We start from the raw sequence: 18,985 nt of genomic DNA, 5'->3' as shown, positions 1-18,985 counted from the left end.
TAATTTATACTAAAAGAAAAGCAGAAGTGAGTATTCTTAATCACCTACTTTAAAGATAAGAAAAATATATAGAAATTAAGCAATTTACATAATTCACTTTTAATGCATTAACAGGTCAGGATTTAAGTTTATATCACTACTTTAAAAAATAATGATTTATTTTATAACAGATTCAGTGTACATATAATTGTCACTGATCATGATAATCTACAAGGATGGAGAGATGTGTAAACTTCCAATAAATTGATTCCTCTAAACGTCATATATACAAAAAATCCATAGCTGGATTCTATTGAAAAATTCTATGTCAATCATTTCCATTCAGGAAGGTCTCAATTCGCCCCACAGTTATAACACTATAGAATTATATAATTGCAAAAAAAATTTGTAAATAAAATCACATTGTGGATGTGCTAACTGGGGCAGTTCATCTTTAAAGAAGCCCTGAAATTAATGATTTTATAAAATAACAACCAAAACGTAAATTATACTTCGGAGCTATACCATAAATTAATACTTTTATGTATCAAATTTTCTCAATGATAATACATTACATTTTGTATTAACAAATTTTATTTTTAAAAGCAATTTTAGGTTTATAGGAAAATTGAGCAGCTGGTACTGAAAATTTTAATAATAACCCCTCTACCCAGTCTTTGCACACAGTTACTCCGATTATTCATCTTTCACTAGTATGGTACTTTTGTCATAATTAATAAAGCAATACTGATACATTGTTATTAACTGATTTCTTTCTTTATTCAGATTTCCTGAGTTGTTACCTAATAACCTTTTTTCTGTTCCAGGAATTCATCCAGTATACCATACTAAATTTAGTTGGCCTGTCTCTTTAGACTCCTCATGTTGAGGACATTGTCTCCGACTCCATTTTAATGACCTTAACTCTTTTAAAGAGTATAGTGAGGTATTTTGTAGAATATTCCTCTATTGGACTTTGCTGGGTTTTTTTTTTTTTTTTTTTTTCATGATTATACTGAGATAATGAGCCTGGGGAGAAAGACCACAGAAGTGAAGTGCTATTCGTTACATCATACCAAGTGTACATACTGTTCACATGATTTATGGCTGTTGATGTTGACCTCAATAACCTGGCTGATGTAGTATGTGTCAGATTCCTCCACTGTAGAGTTACTCATTTTTTATCAGTTTTCCATATTGTAATTTTTGGAAGGAAGTCACTATGAATTCTTAAGAATGAGAATTTGTTTAGAAAGTCATATCTACAAAATTTATAAGAAATTCTTTTACGTAGAACTTATTTATTCTCCCTCCCTCTCCCAGTTATTATTCAATTGTGCTTTATATCAGTAGAGACTTATGGATATTTACTTTATATTTTGGGTTATAATTCAAAGCTAGTTTACTTTCTTGCTCTACTTCTTCCAGCTTTGGCCTTTGGGAGCTCTTTCAGTAGACTCCCTTGTTCCTTTGACATATTATTACCAATGTGACTTATTTTTAATGCACTTGTTTACTTTCTGGCCCTACAAGATTTTCCAGGATTATCTTGTATATTTTCTACTCCTGCCTTAGTATCAGCTGTTTCTCCAGGGAGTCCTTGTTCCTTTTATTATAAAATGGTATTAAAAAAATCAACATTTGGCCAGGTGCAGTGGCTCATGCCTGTAATCCCAACACTTTGGGAGGCCGAGGCAGGTGGGTCACCTGAGGTTAGGAGTTCAAAACCAGCCTAGCCAACATGGTGAAACCCCATCTCTACAAAAGATACAAAAATTAGCTGGGTATGGTGGTGAGTGCCTATAATGCCAGCTACTTGGGAGGCTTAGGCAGGAGAATCACTTGAACCTGGGAGGCAGAGGTTGCAGTGAGCCAAGATTGCACCATTGCACTCCAGCCTGGGTGACAAGAGTGAAACCCTGTCTCAAAAGAAAAAAAGGCCAAATAGGAATAGCTGTGGTCTACAGCTCCCGGTGAGATCAATGCAGAAGACGGGTGATTTCTGCATTTCCAACTGAGGTATCTGGCTCATCTCATCGGGACTGGTTAGACAGTGGGTGCAGCCCATGGAGGGTGAGCCAAAGCAGGGTGGGGTGTCACTTCACCTGGGAAGTGCAAGGGGTCAGGGAACACCCTCCCCTAGCCAAGGGAAGCCACGACAGAATGTGCCTTGAGGAACTGTGCACTCTGGCCCAGATACTATGCTTTTCCCACGATCTTTGCAACTCACAGACCAGGAGATTCTCTCAGGTGCCTATGCCACCAGGGCCCTGGGTTTCAAGCACAAAACTGGGCAACGGTTTGGTCAGACAGGAAGCTAGCTGCAGGAGTTTTTTTTTCATACCCCAGTGGTGCCAGGAATGCCAGTGAGACAGAACTTTTCACTCGCCTGGAAAGGGGGATGAAGCCAGGGAGCCAAGTGGTCTAGCTCAGCAGATCCCACCCCCATGGAGCCTAGCAAGCTAAGATTCACGGGCTTGAAATTCTCACTGCAGGCACAACAGTCTGAAGTTGCCCTGGGATGCTCAAGCGTGGTTGGGGGTGGGGCATCCAACATTACTGAGGCTTGAGTAAAGGAGCTGCCAAAAATTTTGAACTGGGCAGAGCCCACAACAGCTCAGCAAATCTGCTATAGCCAGACTGCCTCTCTGAGTTCCTCCTCTCTGAGCAAAGCCTCCAAGAAATATGGGACTATGTGAAAAGACCAAACCTACATTGGATTGGTGTACCTGAAAGTGACGGGGAGAATGGAACCAAGTTGGAAAACACTTTTCAGGATATTATCCTGGAAAACTTCCCCAATGTAGCAAGACAGGCCAACATTCAAATTCAGGAAATACAGAGAACACTACAAAGACACTCCTCAAGAAGAGCAACTCCAAGACACATAATCATCAGATTCACCAAGGTTGAAATGAAGGAAAAAATGTTAACGGAAGCCAGGGAGAAAGGTCAGGTTACCCACAAAGGGAAGCCCATCAGACTAACAGCGGATCTCTCTGCAGAAACCCTACAAGCCAGAACAGAGGAGGGCCAATATTCAACATTCTTAAAGAAAAGAATTTTCAACCCAGAATTTCATATCCAGCAAAACTAAGCTTCGTAAGCGAAGGAAAAATAAAATCCTTCACAGAGAAGCAAATGCTGAGACATTTTGTCACCAGCAGGCCTGCCTTACAAGAGCTATTGAAAGAAGCACAAGATATGGAAAGGAAAAACCAGTATCAGCCAGTGCAAAAACATACCAAATTGTAAGATCATCGCACTAAATATGGAAAGGAAAAACTGGTACCAGCCACTGCAAAAACATATCAAATTGTAAAGACCATCGACATTATGAAGATACTGCACCAACTAACAGGCAAAACAACCAGCTAGGATCATAATGACAGGATCAAATTCACACATAACAATATTAACCTTAAATGTAAATGGGCTAAATGCCCCAGTTAAAAGACACAGACTGGCAAATGGGATAAAGAGTCAAGATTCATCAGTGTGCTGTATTCAGGAGACTCATCTCACGTCCAAAGACACAACATAGGCTCAAAATAAAGGGATGAGGGAAGATTTACCAAGCAAATATAAAGAAAACAAACAAACAAACAAAACCCAGGGGTTGCAATCCTAGTCTCAGATAAAACAGACTTTAAGCCAACAAAGATCAAAAGAGACAAAGAAGGGCATTACATAATGGTAAAGGGATCAATGCAACAAGAAGGTCTAACTATTCTAAATATATATGCACCCAATACAAGGGCATCCAGATTCATAAAGCAAGTTCTTAGAGATCTACAGAGAGACTTGGACTCCCACACAATAATAGTGGGAGACTTTAACACCCCACTGTCAATATTAGACAGATCAATGAGACAGAAAATTAACAAGGATATTCAGGACTTGAACTCAGCTCTGGACCAAGCAGACCTAATAGACATCTATAGAACTCTCCACCCCTAATCAGCAGAATATACATTCTTCTCAGTACCACATTGTGCTTATTATAAAATTGACCACACAATTAGAAATAAAACACTCCTCAGAAAAATCCAAAAGAGCAGAAATCACAACAAACCATCTCTCAAACCACAGTGCAATCAAATTAGAACTCATGATTAAGAAACTCCCTCAAAACAGCACAACTGCATGGAAACTGAACAACCTTCTTCTGAATGACTACTGGGTAAAAAACAAAATTAAGGCAGAAATAAATGAGTTCTTTGAAACCAATGAGAACAAAGATACAATGTACCAGAATCTCTGGGACATAGCTAAAGCAGTTTTTAGAGGGAAATTTATAGCATTAAATGCCCACAGTAGAAAGTGGGAAAGATCTAAAATTGACACCTTAACATCACAATTAAAAGAACTAGAGAAGCAAGAGCAAACAAATTCAAAAGCTAGCAGAAGATAAGAAATAACTAAGATCAGAGCAGAATTGAAGAAGACAGGGACATGAAAAACCCTTCGAAAACGTAAATGCATCCATGAGCTGGTTTTTTGAAAAGATTAACAAAATAGATAGACTGTTAGCCAGACTAATAAAGAAGAAAAGAGAGAAGAATCAAATAGACACAATAAGAAATGATAAAGGGAAGATGACTACTGATCCCACAGAAATACAAACTACCATCAGAGAATACTATAAACACCTCTATGAAAATAAACTAGAAAATCTAGCAGAAATGGATAAATTCCTCAACACATACACCCTCCCAAGACTAAACTAGGAAGAAGTCAAATTCTTGAATAGACCAATAACAAGTTCTGAAATTGAGGCAGTAATTAATAGCCTACCAGCCAAAAAAAGCCCAGGACCAGATGGATTCACAGCCAAATTCTACCAGAGGTAAAAAGAGGAGCTGGTACCATTCCTCCTGAAATGATTCCAAACAATAGAAAAAGAGGGACTCCTCCCTAACTCATTTTATGAGGCCAGCATCATTCTGATACCAAAACCTGGAAGAGACACAACAAAAAAGGAAAATTTCAGGCCAATATCCCTGATGAACATCGATGCAAAAATCCTCAATAAAATACTGGCAAACCGAATCCAGCAGCACATCAAAAAGTTTATCCTCCACAATCAAGTCAGCTTAATCCCTGGGATGCAAGGCTGGTTCAACATATGCAAATCAATAAACATAATCCATCACATAAACAAAACTGATGACAAAAATCACATGATTATCTCAATAGACGCAGAAAACGCCTTTGATAAAATTCAACACAGCTTCATGCTAAAAACTGTCAGTAAACTAGGTATTGATGGAACATATCTCAAAATAATAATAGTTATTTACAAGAAACTCACAGCCGATATCATACTAAATGGGCAAGAACTGGAAGCATTCCCTTTGAAAACTGGCACAAGAAAAGGATGCCCTCTCTCACCACTCCTATTCACCATATATTGGAAGTTCTAGCCAGGGTCATCAGGCAGGAGAACGAAATAAAGAGTTTTCAAATAGGAAGACAGGAAGTCAAATTGTCTCTGCTTGCAGATGATATGATTGTGTATTTAGAATACCCCACCATTTCGGCCCAAAATCTCAAGTTGATAAGCAACTTCAGCAAAATCTCAGGATACAAAAGCAGTGTGCAAAAATCACAAGCATTTGTATACACCAATAATAGGCAAACAGAGAGCCAAATCATGAGTGAACTTCCATTCACAATTGCTACAAAGAGAATAAAGTACCCAGGAATAAAACTTACATGGTATGTGAAGGACCTCTTCAAGGAGAACTACAAACCACTGCTCAAGGAAATAAGAGACGACACAAACAAATGGAAAAACATATCATGCCCACGGATAGGAAGAATCAATATCATCAAAATGGCCATACTGCCCAAAGTAAGTTATAGATTCAGTGCTATCCCCATCAAGCAACCATTGACTTTCTTCACAGAACTAGAAAAAACTACTTTAAATTTCATATGGAACCAAAAAAGAGCCCGCATAGTCAAGACAATTCTAAGCAAAAAGAACAAAGCTGGAGGTATTACGCTACCTGACTTCAAACTCTACTACAATGCTACAGTAACCAAAACAGCATGGTACTGGTACCAAAACAGATATATAGACCAATGAAACAGAACAGAGGCCTCAGAAATAATGCCACACATCTACAACCATCTGATCTTTGACGAACCCGACAAATACAAGCAATGGGGGATGTATTCCCTATTTAATAAATGGTGTTGGGAAAACTGGCTAGCTATATGCAGAAAACTGATACTGAACCCTTCCTCAGACCTTGTACAAAAACGAACTCAAGATGGATTAAAGACTTAAACATAAAACCTCTAACTATGAAAACCCCAGAAGAAAACCTAGGCTATACCATTCAGGACATAGGCATGGGCAAAGACTTCATGACTAAAACACCAAAAGCAATGGCAACAAATGTCAAAATTGACAAATGGGATCTAATTAAACTAAAGAGTTTCTAAACAGCAAAAGAAACTATCATCAGAGTGAACAGACAACCTACAGAATGGGAGAACCTTTTTGCAATCTACTCATCTGCCGAAGGGCTAATATCCAGAATCTACAAAGAACCTAAACAAATTTACGAGAAAAAAAAACAAACAACCCCATCAAAAAGTGGGCAAAGGATATAAACAGACACTTCTCAAAAGAAGACATTTATGTGGCCAACAAACATATGAAAAAAAGCTCATCATCACTGGTCATTAGAGAAATGCAAATCAAAACCACAGTGAGATACCATCTCACGCCAGTTAAAATGGCGATCATTAAAAAGTCAGGAAACAACAGATGCTGGAGAGGATGTGGACAAATAGGAAGGCTTTTACACTGTTGGTGGGAGTGTAAATTAGATCACCCATTGTGGAAGACAGTGTGGCAATTCCTCAAGGATCTAGAACCAGAAATACCATTTGATCCAGCAATCCCATCACTGGGTATATACCCAAAGGATTATAAATCATTCTACAAAGACACACACCCATTTACTGCAACACTGTTCACAACAACAAAGACTTGGAATCAACCCAAATGCTCATCAGTGATAGACTGGATAAAGAAAATGTGGCACATATACACCATGGAATACTATGCAGCCATAAAAAAGGATGAGCTCATGTCCTTTGCAGGGACATGGATGAAGCTGGAAACCATCATTCTCAGCAAGCTAACACAGGAACAGAAAACCAAACACTGCATGTTCTCACTCATAAGTGGGAGTTGAAAAAAGAGAACACATGGACACAGGGAGGGGAACATCACACACTGGGCCCTTTGGTGGGTAGGGAACTAGGGGAGGGATAACATTAGGAGAAATATCTAATATAGATGACCGATTGATGGGTGCAGCAAACCACTATGGCACGTGTATATCTATGTTCCAAACCTGCACATTCTGCACATGTATCCCAGAACTTAAAGTATAATAAAAAAAAAAAAAAGAAAAAATCAACAGGCCAGGCCTGGTAGCTCATGCCTGTAATCCCAGCACCTTGGGAGGCCAAGGAGGGCAGATCACAAGGTCAGGAGTTCGAGATAAGCCTGGCCAACATGGTGAAACCCTGTCTCTACTAAAAATACAAAAATTAGCCAGGTGTGGTGGTGAGTGCCTGTAATCACTGCTACTCTGGTGGCTGAGGCTGGAGAATTGCTTAAACCCAGGGGGCAGAGGTTGCAGTGAGCCAAGATCACGCCATTGCACTCCAGCATTTGAGTACTAAGTGTGCCCATGGTTACCAGGGTGTTATTTATTTTAGATGTGTCATGGTTGTGCTTTTGTGTATTTACATAAACATCTTTGAATATTTCTATATATAACCACCCATATCTATATTAAGTTAAACATTAGTTCTCCTTGATGTCTCCAACTGTAATGATCATCACATTGATTATTCAAGACTGTTCCCCTAGTTGATCTGTAAATTTCCACACCGTGAGAAATATAACTCCCAATGTTTGCCATTTATAGGCTTAATTATTCAATTCCCATATATATGTATAGCAGTATCAGAACTGTTAACCAGAAGCCAATGAGAAATAATTTTATCAGCTAGAGTACAGTGCTTTTGTGCAGCTCATCTTGCCTATAGTCTGACAGATTCCATTCATTTTTAAAGATATTTATGTTAAGACCATTTTCTCTCTCCACCTTACTAAGGTTATCTGATGCTTTGTAATGCAGTGAATTTCTTCTGTAAAGTCCACATTGCTTCTGGGATCCTCTGACCTTCTAAATAATTTTCTAAAATTTGCCTGCATTATGGTAACTCTTTGTGTCAAAAACTTCTATTGCCTTTGGCAAATGCATAATGTTGCCAAAATTCCACCAATATTGCACAGAATCATTTCACAGCTCCCCAAGTCTCCTGTGCTTAACTTATTCTTCCCTTTCCCTGAACGCCAGGCAAAAACTGATCTTTTTCTTTACAGTTTTGCTTCTTTCCAAAATGTCATCTAATTGAAATTATATAGCATGTAGCCTTTTCACACTGGCTGCTTTCATGTAACAGTATGCATTTGAGTTTCCTCCATGTCTTTTCATGATTTGAAAGCTCATTTCTTTTTACTGCTGAATAATATTCCATTTTATGGATATCTTATAGTTTATTCACTCATCTATTGAAAGACATCTTGATTGTTTTCCATTTTTGGTAACTACCAAGTAACAATAAACCTGCTATAAACATTTGTTTTCAGGATTTTTTTGTAGACATAATGTTTCAGTGTAATTGGGTATATACAGAGGAACACAACTGCAGATTATAATGCAAGGCTATGCTTAGCTTTGTAAGAAACAGACAAAATGTCTTCTAAAGTGGCTGCAGCCTTTTACAGTCACATTTGAAAATTGGATGAACTAGAGTTTCTCTTGCATTGCATTCTCAACAGCATTGGTTGTTGTCAGTAATTTGGATTTCAGCCATTCTAATAGGTGTAGTGGTTTCTCATTGTTGTTTTAATTTACTATTCTCTAATAACATAAGATGTTGAGCATCTTTTCATATGCTTATATGCCATCTGTACATCTTATTTGGTGAGTTGAATGTTCAGATCTTTTGATCATTACATAGAATTATTTAAATACCTTGGTGTCATTTGGATTTAACTCCTTTACTGGATATGTTTTTAAAATATTTTCTCTCATTCTGTGGCTTGTCTTCTCATTTACTTAACAATATATTTCACATAACAATTTTTAAATTTAATTAAGTTCAATTTTTTTTTAATTTTTTTCTTTCATGGATCATGATTTAATCAAACCCAAGGTCACCTAGATTTTCTCCTATGCTATCTCATAGAAGTTTTCTAGTTTTTGTTTTACATTTAGAACTAAGGTCCATTTTAAATTAATTTTTGTGAAAAGCATAAGGTATATGTCTAGATTCATTTTTGCATGTATATGCACAATTTTTGATGATTATTTGTTGAAAAGACTGTCCTTTCTCAATTGAATTTATTTTGCTCTGTCAAGGATCAGTTGAGGGTCTAAAAGAGGCTCTCTCCTCTTTTCTATTAATCCATTTGTCTATTCTTGTACAAATACCTCACTGTCATAATTACTGTAGCTTTGTAGTACTATGAGTAGTGTCAGTTCTCCAACTTAGTCCTTTGGTCAGTATTATGTAGACTATTCTGGGTCTCTTGCATTTCCATATAAATTTTAAAATCATCTTTTGAGATGAAGCTAAAAAATAGAATAAATTTGTCAATAACCACAAAATAACTTGCTGAGAATTTATTAGAATTGTATTAAATGTATACACCAATTCGTGAAGAATTTATATCTCAACATTATTGAATCTACTTATCCATGAAAGTGGTACATCTCCATTTATTTAGATCTTCCTTTATTTCTTTCATCAGACTTAAAATTTTCCATATACATAATATACGTTGTATACATATTTTGTTGTTTATATTTCATTTTTGCTGGGGGAAGGAATGAAATTGTATTTTGTTTTCAACTTCAATTTTCACTTGTTCACTGGTGGTACATGGAAACACAATTGACTTCTATTAACCTCGCATCCTGCAACCTTGCTATAATCACATATTAATTCCAGGAGTCAATTCTTTCAGTTTTACTAAATAAGTAATTATGTCATCTTGAACAGAGGTAGTTTTCTTTTTTTCTTTCTAATCTGTATATATATTTTTTCTTGCCTTGTTGCACTAATTAGGACATCCAGTAGGATGGTGAATAAGAGTGGCAAAAAAAGAACCTTGTCTTGTTCCCAATATAGAAGAAAAGCATATCATTTCTCACCATAAAATAGCGTGAAGTCCCATTTTTTAGATGTTCCAGATTAAGTTGAGGATGTTTTTTATTCCTAGTTTTCTAAGACTTTTTCTCATAAATAGATGTTGGAGTTTGTCAAATGCTTTCTCTGCATCAATTGACAGAATCATAAAATAGTTCTTTAGCCAGTTAATAAATGTCAGATCAGTCTGGTATGCCTAAAATAAATTGCACTTACTGTGATGTATTACTATTTTTATATATTTTTGGATTCAATTAGCTAATATTTTATTGAAAATTTTTCCATCTATATTCATAAAATATATTGAGCTGTAGGTTTCATTTCTTGTAGTGTATTTCCCCGGTTTTGATATTAAGATAATGCCTGCCTCCTTGAATGAGTTAGGAGGTATACCTCTTACTTCTATTTTCTAAAAGTGATTATAGAGAACTGACATTATTTCTTCCTTAAATGCTTGGTGGAATTCATTAGTGAAAGAATCTGGGCGAGACGCTTTCTTTTTCGAAAGATTATTAATGATTTATCTATTTTTTAAATAAATATAGATCTATTTAGGTAATGTATTTCTTTTCCATAAGTTTTGATGGTTTATGTCTTTCAAGGAATTGATTCATTTCATCTAAATTACCAAAAGTGTCAGTATACATTTGTTTGTAATGTTCTTTTATTATCTTTTTAATGTCTATGGAATCAATATTTATAATTTGTGTCTTCTCCCTTTTTCACTTGGTTAGCCTGGCTATGGATTTATCGATTTTATTGATCTTTTAAAGGCATTGCCTTTTGGGTTTATTGACTTTCTCTGTTGACCTCATGTTTTCAATTTTATTGATTTCTGCTCAAAGTTTTATGTCTTTTCTTCTGCTTACTTGAGGCTTAAATTGCTCTCCTCTCTTTACTTTCCTAAGGCACATTTCTATTAGTGATTTTAGATTTTTCTTCTTTTCTAATATATGCATTTGCTGCTATAAATTTGCCTCTAAGAACTGCTTTTACAGCATTCCATTAAAAAATAAAAATAGGACTTGTAATGCAAAATACATCTGCAATCCCAGATTTTATGAATATCTTAAGATTTGAGACACATTTATTTAAAGACACAACAGAAGGACTATTAGGAGACAGGAAACTGTGGGTGAAAGGAATTATCCTTTCTCTTTCTTTTTTAATCAATTTTTATTTTCAGTTCCAGGGTACATGTGCAGGATGTGCAGGTTTGTTACATAGGTAAACGTGTGCCATGGTGCTTTGCTGCACAGATCAACCCATCACCTAGGTATGAAGCCAAGCATCCACTAGCTATTTTTCCTGAGCATCCCATAAATTTTGATGTACATTTCATTTTGTTTAGTTCGAAATATTTTTAAATTTCCTTTGAGACTTCTTCTTTGACCTATGTGTTATATAAAAGTATGTTATTTAATCTCAAACTATTTGGGGACTTCTGAGTTTTTTTCTGGCACTGATTTCCAGTTAAATTTCATTATAGTCTAAGAACACATGCAGTAAACCTTCTATTCTTTTAAATTTGTGAGGGCATCTTTTTCAGCCCCAGAATGTGGTCTATTTTGCATAAAGTCCCATATAAACTTGAGAGGAATATGTATTCTGCTGTTACTTGATTAATTATTCTGCTGCTACTTGAACAGTTAGATCCTGTTCATTGTTAGTGCTATTCAGTTGAACATTTTCCTGATTTCTGCTTGTTGAAATTAGCTGTTATTAATATAGGGATGTTGAGATCTCCAAAAATATTATTAAATAATATTAAATTTGATTATTTCTTCTTGCAGTTTTATAAATTTTTGTCTCATGTATTTAGATGCTGTGTTACCTGCATAACTTAAGAATTATTATGTTTTTTGGATAATTGCCCCTTTCTCATTATTTAATGCCCATCTTTATCCTTAATAATTTTCCTTTTTTTTTTTTTTTGAGACAGGGTCTCATTCTGTCACCCAGGCTGGAGTGCAGTGGCCCAGTCAAGGCTCAGTACAGCCTTGACTTCCTGGTCTCAAGCGATTATCCCATTTCAGCTCCCTTCCACCCCACACTGCCCCCCACCACACACCCTCCCACCACCCCGAGTAGCTGGAACTATGGGCATGTGCCACTACACCTAGATAATTTTTTGTATTTTTTGTAGAGATGAGGTTTCACCATGCTTCCCACACTGGTCTTAAACTCCTGAGCTCAAGCAATCCATCTGCCTTGGCTTTGCAAAGTGTTGGGATTACAGGCATGAGCCACCATGCCCAGAAATAAACATTTCACAAGTTTTCAGTTGTGCTTGGTTCTGAGTATTGTTATAATTTTTCTATTTTATTATACTGTTAAACTCTTTTTATGCCTAATTTATAAGTTAAACCTTATCATAGATATGTACATATAGGAAAAAACATAGAATGTATAGGTAGGGTTTGGTACTATCTGCATTTTCAGGCATCCACTGGGGGTCTTTGAATGTATCCACCATGGATAAGAGGGAACTACTGTACTTCCTCTGCACTTCCTCTGCTCCTTTCTTCTTCTTCTAGTACTTCAATTATGCATATGTTATATTTTTGTAATTGTTCTTGGATATTGGAATGGAGGTTGTAGTCCTTTTTCTCTTAGTATTTCAATTTGCAATGTCTCCTTTGATATATCTTTAAATTATTGATTATTTCCTTGTTTATGTTCAGTTTAGTAATGAGCTTATCAAAGGCATTCTTCATTTCTGTTGCAGTGTTTTTCATTTCTGTCATTTTCTTCTGATTCTTTCTTAGAGTTTTCATTATTCTGCTTATATTATTCATCTGCTCTTGCATGCTTATACTTTTTCTATTACAGTCCTTAACATAACTAATCATAGTTATTTTTAATTATCTATTTGATTATTCCAAACTTTGTTTCATGTCAAAGTCTAGTTCAGATGCTTACTTTGTCTCTTCTGACTGTGTTTTTCCTTTTCTTTTTGTATAGCCTTCCTTATGATTTTTTGTTAAAAGTCAAACATGATGTATCAGGTAATGAGAACTGAGGAAAATAGGTCTTTAGTATGAGGTTTTATGTCAATCTGCCTAGCAGATGGGTTGTGCTTCATGTTTTCCATAGCTATAGATGCCAGAGACTTTAGTTTCCTCAGTGTCTTTGTTTTCTCCACATTGGATTTCCCTAAGAATTCCTTCTTAAATAGAGTCTATGTTTTGCAGCTCTTTCCATTGTAACCCATTGTGATTATTCTGGAGCTGTGTTGATGTGGTGGTAAGGTGTGGAGGAGGTAAGTATATTTCAGTCTTTTAGTGGGCTCAAGTCCCTGAATTGGACTTCAGAAGTGTTTCTTATCCTTTTTTTCCTTCCACTAAGTAACACAAGAAAGCTAGAGAGGGATGTAGGGGGCTAACTGCCCTTCTCCATGGTCAACTAAGGCTCTGGTAAAGTTGTTTCCGTTGAGGAGTAAACCTTGGCTATGGAGAATGCTCTAGGATTATTTCAAAATGCTACTTTCCCCCAACTGACCAAGATATGAGAGATGTTTTCTAAGATCTTCACCATGAAAATCTGGTGGGCTTCCTGAAGATAAAATCCAAGAAAGTGTGAGGGGCCTCCTTCAGAATGGACCTCCCCAAATTTTTTACTGTCAAGCTAGTCCATAGTCAGCCTCCAGCAATTCATCCTACCATTTTATGGCTTCAGTGGCACCTGCTCCAGGTAAGTTTATTTAGGTTATGATCTAACATTCCACTCATGAGATTTCTTCATGCTGTTGTGTGTAGGTTTAGATTATTTATTCTTTCTGCTGTATAATTTTCAATTGTATAAATATTAACACAACTTATTTATCCTACTCATTGTTGATGAACATTTCCAGTTTTTGTGCCTCATGACTAGTGATACCATGAACATTCTTGAACATGATTTCTGGTGAACACACACCTGCATTTCTGTTGGGTATACACCTGAGAGTAAAAATTCTGGGTTATAGGGAATGCATATACTGGACTTTATTAGACACTGCCAAGTTGTTTTCCTAAGTGGATGTTCCTAGAATGATGTATAAGAGTTTCAATTACCCCACTTTCTCATCAGCACTGAGTATTTTCCAACTTACTCTTTTTAGTTATTCTGGTAGGGGTGGTATAATATTGCACTGTGGTTTTAATCTACATATCCCAGATGACTCATAAAGTTGAGCACCTTTTATTTCTGTTTATGGACTATTTTAATATATTCTCTTTTCTGAAGTGTCCAAGTCTTCTTCCCACTTTTCTACTGAGCTATTGCTTTTTTTCTCATTGACTTTTAAGAGTTCTTTATATATTCCAAATGTGTGTTATTTTGGGAGGGAATATAGATATGCCAATGCATTTTTTAATTTGTATTTTCATTGGGATATTGTCACTTAAAACTGTGACTTTTAAAAGAATGTGTTTTGGCTGAAACACTCAGTACAGGCTAGTAGCCTGTATATTCACTGTTCCACCAAAGAGAAGGCACATACCGTATGTCTTGGTTGAATTATGGTTAAGAATTCCTCTGACTCTCCAAAGTAGGCCTTTGGTTCATGCAAAGGTAATTGCAGTTTTTGCAATTACTTTTTTCCCCATAAGTTATTGAGGTATAGATGGTATTTGGTTACATGAGTAAGTTCTTTAGGGATGATTTGTGAGATTTTCGTGCACCCATCACCTGCGCAGTATACACCGCAGCATATTTGTAGTGTTTTATACCTCACCCACTTCTCACCCTTCCCCCCAAGTCCCCAAAGTCCATTGTATCATTCTTATGCCTTTGAGTCCTCATAACTTAGTTCCCATATATCTGTGAGAAGATATGATGTTTGGTTTTCCATTCCTGAGTTACTTTACTTAGAATAAGTTTCCAATCTCATTCAGGTCACTGCAAATGCTGTTAATTCATTCCTTTTTATGGCTGCATAGTATTCCATTATATATACATACCACAGTTTCTTTATCCACTTGTTGATTGATGGGCATTTGGGTTGGTTCCACGATTTTGCTATTTTGAATTGTGCCACTATAAACATGTGTGTGCAAGTATCTTTTTTGAATAGTGACTTCTTTTCCTCTGGGTAGATACCCAGTAGTGGGATTGCTGGATCAAATGGTAGTTCTACTTTTAATTCTTCAAGGAATCTCCACACTGTTTTCCATAGTGGCTTTACTAGTTTACATTCCCACCAGCAGTGTAGAAGTGTTCCCTGTTCACCGCATCCATGCTAACATCTACTGTTTTTTGATTTTTTTTTTTAATTATGGCCATTCTTGCAGGAGTGAGGTGGTATCGCATTGTGGTTTTGATTTGCATTTCCCTGATCATTTGTGATGTTGAGCGTTTTTTCCTATGTTTGTTGGCCATTTGTATATCTTCTTTTGAGAATTGCCTATTCATATCCTTAGCCACTTTCTGATGGAATTGTTTTTTTCTTACTGATTTGTTTGAGTTCATTGTAGATTCTGGATATTAGCACTTTGTCAGATGTACAGATTATGAAGGTTTTCTCCCACTCTGTTTGTTATCTGTTTGCTCTGCTGACTCTTCTTTTTGCCATGCAAAAGCTCTTTAGTTTAACTAGGTTCCAGCTATTTATCTTTGTTTTTATTGCATTTCCTTTCAGGTTGTTGGTCATGAAATCCTTGCCTAAGCGAACGTCCAGCCCTATACAAAAAATCAGCTCAAGATGGATTAAGGACTTAAACTTAAGACCTGAAACTATAAAAATTCTAGGAGATAACATTGCAATTACTTTTAAATGGCAAAAACTGCAATTACTTTTGCACCAATCTAACACAATTTTGTTAAGCATGAGCATGGAGTCATAGCTCATCTCCCCTTCTCTGCTAGAAGAGAGGAATTAGAGAGGAAGACATATTTAATTTGGAATGGGCTGCATGGTTGAATTTTCTGCATTTTCAGTCTTCGGTATTTTCTTTTATCTGTTTACCTTTTAAAGTAGGTTGCATTAGAAAGCACTGTATTGCCACTCATTGCTCCTGTGTCCACAAGAATCTCATGATCTTCAGGTTGGTTTCTAATGATCTTTCAAAAGCCCACACAAAGAAACCAATGAATCACTGATTTCAATCATGGAAAGTAGGGAGGGGAGCTTCTGTGTTCTCAGATTCTTCAAGGAATTGCCTAATCTGAGAAACTCTCAAATTCTTCCTTTTTTCTATGTTATTATTGGAAAACTGAAAATGAAACACAGGAAGTATAATCAGTGGGGAAACAATTATCTTTTCTATTCTTCTGAATCCCACCCCCATTCCCAGGTAAAACATGTAAATATGGATCTGAGTCTTCCTGTCTCTACACAGCCTTGAAGTTAATTTGCCCTTAATATTTATGCAGGTATGGGATTCCATTTTCAATTTTTTAAAGGTAGCTAGGAGGCTGAGAGAAAAAAGAAACCAATAAATCTGTTGAAATGGCAAATCTAAAATAAACATGCGTTAATAGTTAAGACCACATCCATCTAAGGATTACTAAGAATTATTGGCTGGCCATGGCACTCTGTGAGGCCAAGGCAAGTGGATCACCTGAGTTCAGGAGTTCAAGACCAGCCTGTCCAACATGGTGAAACCCCGTCTTTACTAAAAGTACAAAAAAATTAGCCATGTATGGTGGTGCACACCTGTAATCCCAGCTACTCGGGAGGCTGAGGCATGAGAATCGCTTGAACTCAGGAGACAGAGCTTGCAGTGTACCGAGATCATGCCACTGCACTCCAGCCTGGGCAATAGAGTGAGACTCTGTCTCAAAAAAAAAAAAAAAGAATTATTAATATATTTGGTTATTTATGAATCAGATGCACAGAAAGGTTAAGAGATCAGATAATGCACACAAAATATTTGATTAACCATTTTGCCGATTTGCAAATAAATCTTACACCCATAACAAAAGGTATTCACTGATACGTACAAATAGTTAAGTTTGAATTTGCTGTCCATGAAAGAAAGAAAATAAATCAGAGAAGTGACTTTAAACACATTTAGCATGGGAACCCAGTTCAATTCTCCTTCTCAACATGTTGCCATTAAGTCTTAAGATCAATTAGAGTGAATTTTTGCAGATGATCTGACAGGTATTTTGAAGGAAGTGAGGCTCAAAGGATTTAGAGCTAAATATTCACTTTTTCTTATCCATACTGCCCAACAACGAGATAGCAAACAATTACATAAACCTGTTAAAATGTTTTTGAAGGTTGACACATCCTATGGAGATCAACATTACTCATATAGTGATATTGATACAGTCTGTAATCTATCAGGTGTGTCGAAGCACCTTGCTTTACCTTGGTAAGAGGAAAACAAGATGATCAGTTTGCAAAACCCATCGACTTTGATATTTGATCTTGTCTAGATGGTTGATGTCCCTTCCTTTTAAGACAGTAGCCAACTGCTTTGCATCAATAATTTGATACTAGGGCATTTTTAAGATGCCACACACTCCTGCTATCCCTTACTTTCCCAAACATCTATATTTCTACTTTCTTTATGACTTAGTAACTCAGTAGGCTTAGTTATGCTTAGTTGAATGAAAATTTCTCAAGACCAAGAACTAGGTGGGCTCACCAGCTTACTACTGTCTGCGAACTAATTAGAAAAATGTTAACTAAATTTTAAGTCTCTAAAATAGTTGTGCAATGTGGATTCGTTGTAATAGCATTTGAACACAATTGTGTTGTCTAAACTTGAATACTAGTTTTTCAAAACCTGACATAATTAAAGTTTATAATAAATAGATGGATTCAAGATAGTATGGTCAACACTTTTTAAGAAAAGGAGAAAGAAAATGGAGCTGCAAAGAGCAATGAATGAATCAGAGGCCTATGATACCGACAAAAATGGTGGTAATATTGCCACCTATACATTTGTATAAACTTCATTTTATATCAATTACACCAATAGACTAACCCTGTGGGGTTAAAGTCAGCAAAGAGTATTATACCCATTTTAAAAGAGGAGGCATTAGATGACTGGAGTGAATTCTTTTTAACAACCGAGCTAGGCCTAGAATCAGAGTCTCTAACTTCTTAGTCTACGTATATAGCAATGAAAACATGTCAAAGCAGAAACAAAACTTCCAGAGAATTCAGATTGACTTTTGGAAGCAAATTTACATTTATTTATTTCCAATGAATTTGTAATAATACCATTTAGAGTTACTATTTGTTTCCTTTTACTCCGTGCACTATCCTAGTGAATCCATTTAAAATGTACAACAGTCCTATGAAGTAGAAATTATTATTTCCATGTTTCAGATAATTTGCCAAAAGTTACATTGGTAATCACTAGCAGAATCTTTATCAATACCTTATCAACAAACATATAAACTAAAAAAAAATTTCTGAAGAACCTAGTGCCAAGAACTTGATTATTAATTACAATGTACAGTAAAAAAGAGCAAGGGCTACTTGAAGAAATGGTTGAATCTTGGGCTGGGGCAGGATAGATGATGAAACTAGAGCCTCTTGTAGTGCCAAAAACTAAAGAAATATCTGCAAAAAAGTAAAAAGAAATCCCACAATGATAGAGGTATGTCAAAATGACATGGGCATTAAACAAAAGAGCTTCAATGGCCAAAACTGAAATAATTTAGCAATAAAATAATATAATATTGGGTTATAACTTAAGGATAAAACAAATGTCCATGAGTTCATACTGCCATCAATAAATGATTGTCAGGTGCAGTGGTGCATGCCTATAGTCCCACCTGCTCAGGAGGCTGAGACAGAAGGATTACTTGA

The 18,985-nt window shown here is 36.1% G+C and overlaps 1 long non-coding RNA gene across 1 annotated transcript in view; it reads right to left on the bottom strand.

Moving 5' to 3' along the window:
• The window catches only part of SUCLG2-DT (SUCLG2 divergent transcript), a 293,017-nt gene that overhangs the window by 180,873 nt on the left and 93,159 nt on the right, over positions 1-18,985 (bottom strand). The gene's annotated exons all lie outside the window — the stretch shown is intronic.

This window comes from Homo sapiens, chromosome 3 (genome assembly GCF_000001405.40).
Source record: "Homo sapiens chromosome 3, GRCh38.p14 Primary Assembly".
NCBI lineage: Eukaryota > Metazoa > Chordata > Mammalia > Primates > Hominidae > Homo > Homo sapiens.
The sequence above is the reverse complement of the archived record's forward strand: the minus strand, read 5'-3'. Positions and strand labels throughout refer to the sequence as shown.